Source organism: Homo sapiens, chromosome 19, assembly GCF_000001405.40.
Source record: "Homo sapiens chromosome 19, GRCh38.p14 Primary Assembly".
Classification (NCBI taxonomy): Eukaryota; Metazoa; Chordata; class Mammalia; order Primates; family Hominidae; genus Homo; species Homo sapiens.
The window spans coordinates 51,077,225-51,084,421 of NC_000019.10; the positions used below are offsets into that span (position 1 = coordinate 51,077,225).

At 56.3% G+C, this 7,197-nt stretch overlaps 1 protein-coding gene across 5 annotated transcripts; it reads right to left on the bottom strand.

Moving 5' to 3' along the window:
• Positions 1-269: 269 nt before the first annotated feature.
• On the bottom strand, positions 270-6,986 carry KLK14 (kallikrein related peptidase 14). Of its 5 annotated transcripts, NM_001311182.2 has the most exons (8): positions 6,912-6,986; positions 5,498-5,632; positions 5,351-5,412; positions 4,308-4,479; positions 2,225-2,478; positions 1,591-1,727; positions 772-935; positions 270-296 (listed from the first exon to the last, which is right to left on the bottom strand). In NM_001311182.2, exons 3-7 carry the CDS (start codon positions 5,388-5,390, stop codon positions 783-785), a joined length of 756 nt encoding a protein of 251 aa, NP_001298111.2. In that variant the 5' UTR covers positions 5,391-5,412; positions 5,498-5,632; positions 6,912-6,986; the 3' UTR covers positions 270-296; positions 772-782. The 5 variants fall into 5 exon arrangements, 4 of the variants coding, with proteins under 4 accessions (NP_001298111.2, NP_001356704.1, NP_071329.3 ...); NM_022046.6 differs by lacking the exon at positions 270-296 and having other exon boundaries at positions 750-935; NM_001369775.2 differs by lacking the exons at positions 270-296; positions 6,912-6,986 and having other exon boundaries at positions 673-935; positions 5,498-5,663.
• Between the last annotated feature and the right edge of the window lie 211 nt (positions 6,987-7,197).

Genomic DNA, 7,197 nt, shown 5'->3' on the forward strand with positions numbered 1-7,197 from the left:
GCAGTGAGCTATGATTGCGTTACAGCATTTCACCAGGAGACTGAGCAAGACCTTGTCTCAAAAAATAAAAAGTAAACACATGGATGAATGAATACAATTTAGGATGATTCCATTTTTATTGTCATTATTTATTCGGTTTTTAGAGACACTAAGCGTGTTAAAAATTGTCGTCTTTGGAATACAATGCCGGTTTAAGGGGTCTGTGCTCCTGCCCTCTGTGCCTCCGGTCTTGAGTAGTGATGGTGACACAGCAAGGGTGGGGGCTTGGTGGGGAGAAAACGCCTGAAGCAACTGCTCTGGGAAAGGAGAGATCAGAGCCGGAGTAAAGATCAGGATGCTGGGGACTGGGGCTCCTGGGTCTGAGGGAGGAGGGGCTGGGCCTGGACTCCTGGGTCTCAAGGAGGAGGGGCTGGGGGACTGGGGCTCCTGGGTCTGAGGGAGGAGGGGCTGGGCCTGGATTCCTGGGTCTGAGGGAGGAGGGGCTGGGGGCCTGGACTCCTGGGTCTGAGGGAGGAGGGACTGGGGCCTGGACTCCTGGGTCTGAGGGAGGAGGGGCTGGGGGCCTGGACTCCCGGGTCTGAGGGAGGAGGGGCTGGGGCCTGGACTCCTGGGTCTGAGGGAGGAGGGGCTGGGGGCCTGGACTCCCGGGTCTGAGGGAGGAGGGGCTGGGGGCCTGGACTCCTGGGTCTGAGGGAGGAGGGGCTGGGGCCTGGACTCCTGGGTCCTGAGTAGAGAGAGGAGGGCCTGGGCAGCTGACGAGGTCCATCCCACCGTGAAGACCATCATTTGTCCCGCATCGTTTCCTCAATCCAGCTTCTGTACTTGCACAGGTTGGTGTAGACACCGGGGTAGCCAGGCAGGGCGCAGCGCTCCATTCCCCAAGACACGAGGCCCTGGAGCTGTCCTCTGCACACCAGGGGTCCCCCAGAGTCACCCTGAGGGGGAGGAACAGAAATGGAGACACTGATGGACAGGTAGCCAGAGCCACCATGGCACAGAGAACCCGAGAAGCAGACACAGGGAGACAGGCAGAGACACTGGTGGACAGTTAGGGACACAGTCCTGCCCCAGCTCTGAGGTCTCAGCCCCGGAGGTCGGGGCACTTCCTTCCCTCTCCGCTGGGTCTGGCTCTGTCTCTGTGTGCACCTGCCTGTCCCTTGAATCTCACCAGGCCCCTCTCTGTTCGCTCCAACTGTAGAACATTTGTGTGTCTCTCTTTTTCTATTTCCCCATCTCTGCCTCCCTCAAGGATGCATTAAGATTTCTAGAAGCCTCAGCACAGCCTTTCCCAGACCCATATGAGCAGAGGCCACTCTGCGATCTTTCCCCAACCTGCCTCATCCCATTCCACCAACTACCCTAAGAGGGTTACTCCCACCTGACAGATGAGGAAACTGAGGCATGAATGCTCTGAGTCCATTACCCAGGGGGCACAGGGCTAGGAAGCAGGGTGGCCTGGCTATCGGAATCTCTCTGTGCCTGCGGTTCACTCTCTTCTGAAGACCTCTGCAGACTTCCATGCTCCTGACATCATTTGCTTAAATCCCAGTCCCAAATAATCCCTACCACAGCTCCCATCCTGGGCCTTACCTGACAAGAGTCCTTCCCGCCCTGGGGAACTCCTGCACAGACCATGCCAGGCGTGATGGTTCTAGGATAGGCCTTCTGGCACACCTCATCCGGGGAGATGTTGATGTTCACGCATTGCAGAGAGGCGGGGTACCTGGCTGGGGGACACTGCAGGGTTATAACTGGGTCTACCCTCCCATAAGACCCAAGGGTCCAGGCCCCCAGCCCCTCCTCCTTCCGACCCAGGAGTCCAGCCCCAGCACCTCCTCCCTCAGACCCAGGAGTCCAGGCCCCCAGCCCCTCCTCCCTCAGACCCAGGAGTCCAGACCCCCAGTCCCTCCTCCCTCAGACCCGGGAGTCCAGGTCCCCAGCCCCTCCTCCCTCAGACCCAGAAGTCCAGGCCCAGCCCCTCCTCCTTGAGACCCAGGAGTCCAGGCTCCAGCCCCTCCTCCCTCAGACGTATGAGTCCAGGCCCAGCTCCTCCTCCTTGAGACCCAGGAGTCCAGGCCTCAGCCCCCTCCTCCCTCAGACCCAGGAGTCCAGGCCCAGCCCCTCCTCCCTCAGACCCAGGAGCCCCAGTCCCCCCAGCTCCACCTCCTGGAGACCCAGGAGCCCAGGCCCAGTCCCCTGCTTTCCAAGACGCAGGAGTCCTCACCGATGGGGCTGGATATAGTTCCCCAGCCTGACACTCGGCAGGAGGTCCCGGGGCTGGCACAGGCCTGGGTGACCTCAATGGGCCTGACTGCCCTCCCGATCCGTGCGGGCTGCTGTAGCTGCAGCAGCATGAGGTCGTTGTCGTGGGTCCGGGAGTTGTAGTTGGGGTGCGTCACCTGACGAACCACGCGCAGCACCTGCTGGGTGGCCTCCCACCTCCTCAGGTTGTGCTTGCCCAGGGCAACCTGAAGGATCCTGGCCACGACCCCCAAGAGAAGCGCTGCTCAGGGTCTGAGCCAGAGACTCCTCCCCACCCTCCAGCCCGGTTCCCTGGCCGGGTGACGAGTCTTCCCCGAGGTCTAGCCTGCTTCTCACTAACTGCAGGCCGAGCATTCTTGGCCTCCTGTGCCCTTCCCCATGGCCAGGGCATTCTCTCGGCCCAGCCCCAGCTGCCTCTCCTTCCGCTCTTGGGCTGGGCTCCAGCTCCTGGCTTGGGAAGAAGGTGATGATTGGGAGAGCTTGGCTCCGTGCCAGGGTCTGTGCTGGGCTCGGTGCATTGAGTCCTAAGCGAAACTGCGTTATGAGTCTAGGCTCTAAATCGGAACTGATATTCCGGAGTAGGCACCATTCTGTTTCTAGCCTGGGTTCTGAGTTCTAGACATCTTAAACTTTTGACTCTATGCTAAGATCAGGATTCTAGATCGAACCTGGATTATGACTTGATTTATTTATTTATTTTTTTTTTGTGATGGAGTCTCGCTCTGTCACCTAGGCTGGAGTGCAGTGGCACGATCTCAGCTCACTCTCGACCTCCAACTCCCAGTTCAAGTGATTCTCCCGCCTCAGCCTCCCAAAGTGCTGGGATTACAGGCGTGAGCCACCGCACCCAGCCTCTACAGGTCTGTTTCATATTGGATTATAGGGCTCTTGGTTCTGGACTCTGGCCCTAGCCCTTGACCTCAGGTTGGGCTCTGGGTTCTAGTTGGAGCTCTAGGTTATGGCCCGGATCCAAGATTCTAGAGTCTGGTTTGCATTCTGGCCTTTATATTCTAGACTCTGGCCTGAGCTTTGATCTCTAGGTTCTAGACTGACCTGTTTATGGCATAGATATGGCTTATAGGCATTTTGACCTCTTGGCTGGGGTCTGGGTTGTAAGTTCAGATCTAGAATTTAGGAGGGGTCTAGGTTTTATATGGGGCTTCTGATTAGGATCTGCATTCTGGGATTTATTGATTGATTGATTGATATGGAGTTTCGCTCTTGTTGCCTAGCCTGGAGTGCAATGGTGCGATCTTGACTCACTGCAACCTCCGCCTCCCAGGTTCAAGTGATTCTCCTGCCTCAGCCTCCCGAGTGGCTGGGATTACAGGCATGTGCCACCATGCCTGGCTAATTTTGCATTTTTAGTAGAGACAGGGTTTCTCTATGTTGCTCAGGCTGGTCTCGAACTCCTGACCTCAGGTGATCTGCCTGCCTCAGCATCCCAAAGTGCTAGGATTATAGGCATGAGCCACCGCACCCGCCACATTCTGGGATTCAAACACTGGGTTGAAGTCTGCTCATAGCGGAGCTATAGACTAGACTCTGAACTAAACCTTGGGTGTGAAACAGCCTCCAGGTTTTGCCTCTATTCTTAGAGTTGTATGTTCCAGCTGTGAGCAGCGTTCTAGTTCTGGATTTATGGCTAGACTGCAGGTCCTGAACTGGGCTCTGAGTTCTACGTAGTGTCCTGAGTTTCTGAATGTAGACGGGGTCCTGAATTCAGCCACCAATCTGGAATGGGCTAAGCTTGGTCTCGATGTAATGTGTGGCCTCTGGAAGAATCACTGGATCAGATGTTCGGTTCTCAGCAGGTCCATGGGTTCCAAGCTGCCCATCTGCTTTCAGAACCTATGCTGAGTTCGAGATTTATGGAGGAGCCCACATCCCGAGCTGTGTTTTTGTTCCAGGCTCTTCTCTAGACCTCAAACCAGGAGCCAGCCACTACATTGGGTTCTATACAGAGATCCAGGTTCTCAGCTCAGCTCTAGGGCTTTAGACTCTGGAATTCACTAGGTACAGGGACAGGGGAGGGGGTCACTTACGGGCGGCCGCAGTGAGCAGCAGTGATGACCCACTGGCCTGAAAGCAGGGCGCCTCCGCAGAGGAAGCGGCGCCTGGGACCCGCCAGCAGGGCCGCCTGCCACGGCTGGGAGCTCCGGGTGCACGTATGGCCACCAATTATCTTGTTCTCATCCTCTTGGCTCTGTGTCATGGCTAGGAGTGGACAGGATTGGGTGGGGAAAGTAGATGAGCAAACACTCTCCACTCCACAAGTTTGTAGGATTCCAAAACTGACAAATCCCCTTCCTTTTGGTCTAACCCCTAAACTGCCCGCCTCTATCTGTCCCACCCAGGGTGAGACATGCCCAATATTGACCCCGTTATTGCCCCAGCACGGAGAGCTTTCTGACTCACCTCCCAAGTCACCTCCGTAGCATCTCTTATTTTGTGCCGTGGCCACCTTATCCAGGGCCTTGCTACATCTACGACCCTTAGCTCTATGCTCCCATAATTTCTGTGATCACTTCTCGAAATATGCCACATTTCCCCCCAATGAGTCCTTCCCCAACACATTCAAGGACCTCCCTGTCTCCTCCCCAACGTTCCCACTCAGTGGGACCCCAAGGATCCGCCATCTCTTGCCCCACACTTGCCCCCATCCACCTCACACACCCATGCCACGATCCCGCCACCCCATGCCACGATCCCGCCATCCCATCATCCTTCTCCACCTTCCCTCTGACAACAAAACATCTTTCTGACATTGTTTCTTTCCTAACACAGTCAGGTAGAGCCCCGTGATCTTTCTGCTATGACCCACTCAGGACCTAATAGTTCCCTAAGATTCCTTATGTATTTTGCACCAGACCTTATAAACACCTCTCTCCCCGGCCCCACAATTCCCTAGCACCTCCACAACTAGGAATTTAGGCCTCCAGCACGTTCCCCCACCATGACCCCCAAACCACTCCCTGCTCTTTCTTATGAGGTCACCATGAGCATCCAGGGGCCCCAAGGACCCATCCCCATCTCTTCTCAGAGTCTCCAGGGGACCCCCTTGTGTCATACCCAACCGTTCTCTTACCTATAGCCAGGACTTGAAGTGCTGTCAGCAGGAGGAACATTTTAGGGGCTGAGGGCCAGGTCCTGTCAAATGCAGAGAAAAAGTGAGAGAGAAGGAACCTTCAACAGAACCGGGGGCTGAGAGGCAGAGACAGCAAGGGGCACTTACCCAGAGCCCAAGACCCTCAGGGACATGAAGACACAGCAGAGAGGTAGGGACCAGAGACGAGGGGGGCGGGGCCTGCAGGCTCTGCGGGCGGCAGGTGGGAGGATGTGGAGCAGGGCACAGGTCCCTCCTTGATGTCTTGATGAAGGAAGGAGGGGAGGTGTCTCTCTTCCTAGTCACACTGGCAAAGCCTTTTATCCCTGGTAAGGACAGCTGGCCCTGCCCCCACCTCCCGCCGCCCTGCTTCTGACATTTTTTTTTTTTTATTGCCTAGTTCCCATTCCAGGACTCCCTGATCCCATCCCCTCCCTCCCCTGTCTGGCCAAAAAAGCAGCCACAATTGTTCATGAGAACCCGCCCAGGGAAGATGCTATAATCTAGAAGGAATCCTGGGAGGGGACCCCAGGGCAGGGTGGGCAGGGGAGGGTTCCCAGTTGCTGGAGGTGGTGGATCTAGTGGTGGAGTCAGGAAACCAGGGTGGGGAGTGTCAGAGGAAAGGGCACGAAGGGGCTGAGAGAGGGAGGAAGAGATGGACTGAGAGAGGGAGTCACGGGAGGAGGGAGAGAGGGAGAGAGAGAGAGAGAGAGAGAGAGACAGAGAGAGATGGAGAGAGAGAAAGACAGAGAGACACACAGACAGAGAGAGACAGAGACAGGGTGACGGGGGGGAGAGAGAGAGAGAGATGGAGAGAGAGACAGAGAGAGAGCCAGACAGAGAGACACAGAGAGAGAGAGAGAAAGAGAGAGACAGAGACAGAGTGACAGAGAGGGGGAGAGCAAGAGACAGAGAGAGACTGGGAAAATGAATGAGAAGATATGACAGTGGAGAGAGAGGAGTCCAGGAATACGAGCACAGAGGCAGGTGTGCTCATGAGAGAAGGAACTGAGGAGAGAGCTGGAGAAACCGGTGGAAGTTGGATGTGACAGGGAACAGAAGAGGCAGACGGTGGGAAAAAAACAAGACAGAGGAAGAGGGAGACACAGAGACGCAGGGAGAGAGGGGTGTGGAGAAGTGGAGATAGAAAAGCAAAAGACGGAGGGAAGAAGGTGGAGATAGAATGGAAACAGACACACAGAAAGAGAAAACAGTGGAGAGAGAGGAGAGAGGCCGAGACGCCCCCACCATGCGGCACTCACCACAAACACACACAGAACAACAGCGATGATGATGAAGGCAGTGCGGGCATGAGACGTGGAAGAGAACGGGACATGGTGGGAGAAAGAGGATGGGACAGGCAGGCCGATGGCAGAGGGGAGACGGGAAGGATGGGCACCTACAGGGGATGGGGACAATGACAGAGGAGACGGAGGCCTAGATGAGAGATGGCAGCGCCAGGGAGAGATGGAGAGGAGGGGTGGGATAGAGGACGGGCAGGAGGTGGGCGGGAGATACCTGGACCTGGAGCAGAGCTGCCCACCTTGCTTTCTCACTTTCGACTCCTGAGAGATGGGGGAGCAGAGGCCCCAGCAGGGAGCAGGAAGGTTGGTGCCAGAACTGGCATTCCCCAGCTTGGGATCTGCTAGGTGCAGAGACAAAGTGAGAGCTGGAGATGCAAAGAGAGAGTGACAGAGACCCAGAGAGGGGGACAGAGACCCAGAGGGAGAGGGAGAGAGACCCAGAAAGAGAAGGGGACAGAGATTCAGAGACAGAAGGACAGTCTTAACAGACGGGGTTGGAAATTCAAAATAGGAGACGGCAGAGAG